This window comes from Homo sapiens, chromosome 7, assembly GCF_000001405.40.
Source record: "Homo sapiens chromosome 7, GRCh38.p14 Primary Assembly".
NCBI classification, from domain to species: Eukaryota; Metazoa; Chordata; class Mammalia; order Primates; family Hominidae; genus Homo; species Homo sapiens.
In genome coordinates, this window is record NC_000007.14 from 145,224,470 (window position 1) to 145,225,505 (window position 1,036).

The 1,036-nt window shown below is 33.3% G+C and overlaps 1 annotated feature.

The window, feature by feature from the left end:
* Positions 208 to 760: an enhancer, noted in NCBI's record as "OCT4-NANOG hESC enhancer chr7:144921770-144922322 (GRCh37/hg19 assembly coordinates)". NCBI's record gives its function as "activates a minimal SCP1, AML or CMV promoter by ChIP-STARR-seq in naive H9 embryonic stem cells {active_cell/tissue: H9 hESC(naive)}" and the evidence as "EXISTENCE:reporter gene assay evidence [ECO:0000049][PMID:30033119]".

The following is a 1,036-nucleotide window of genomic DNA, read 5'->3' on the forward strand; positions in this document are numbered from 1 at the left end:
AATGAGGAGAAAGGACAATGTAATTATTTTCCTATAAATTGATGATTGAACTTTTTTACTTTTGACATTAGAAAATTGTAGATGTAGTTCAACTTATCTGCTATCACAGGAGATGATATGTGACAGTATTAAAAGATGTCAGAGTACCTATTTTGGTACTACAATTTAGAAATATGTAATTGTTCAGTCTTTTTTAAAACAAATCACAATTTAATGATACCGTTTCTAAAACATAACTCTTTCCAATTTCCTTCAAAAACCCTTTAGGGGAGATCATTCTGCTGTAAAGTGTATGCATTCCCTTTGCCTTCTGAGACCTTTATGTTGTGTAATTTCCAGCTCTCTAGTCTTATTTTTAATGATTTTCTTCATGTGTCCTAAGTTCCAGCAGATGTGAATCATTTCCCCTTCACTCTTTCCCCTTTATGCTTCTGCTGAAGCCATTATTGTTTGGCTTCTCCTCCATTGCACTTCTCTCTACCCGCTGCTCAACACTTACTCCTTCCCGCTGTCCTGCCAAGTACCTCCAAGCAGGGGGCAAAGGGAGAAATTCTCTCCCACAATTCTCCACATTCTTTTTTTGTGGCATTCTGTTATCATCCTGACGCCGTTCTAATAGAAACTCTCTTTCTATCTACCAGTATTTAACACATTGTAGGAACTTAATGAATGTATTTTAAATAAATGCTAAATAAATTGGGAGTTAATATAACATGCAGAAAAAAATAACTTTAGGATTTCTATGGGTAGGAAGCACTTCTTACAGTTTGTCAGCTGCTTTTAGAACTAGTGTTAAAACTTTTCTTGCAAACTGTGGCGCCATAAAACCTAGACAAAAATATAGGTGGATAGGGCTCATTTCTAAAAAGAAATTGACTTCTAAGCATAAAGGAAATGGTTAAATTCTAAAGGAAAACGTATAGTATCTTTGCATATATAAAAATTTTCAAAAATTATTTGTTAAAATGCTATAAACAAAATAAAAAACAGATTGATAAATAGTACAGTAATGTGACGACACTCTTGATAAGAAAAA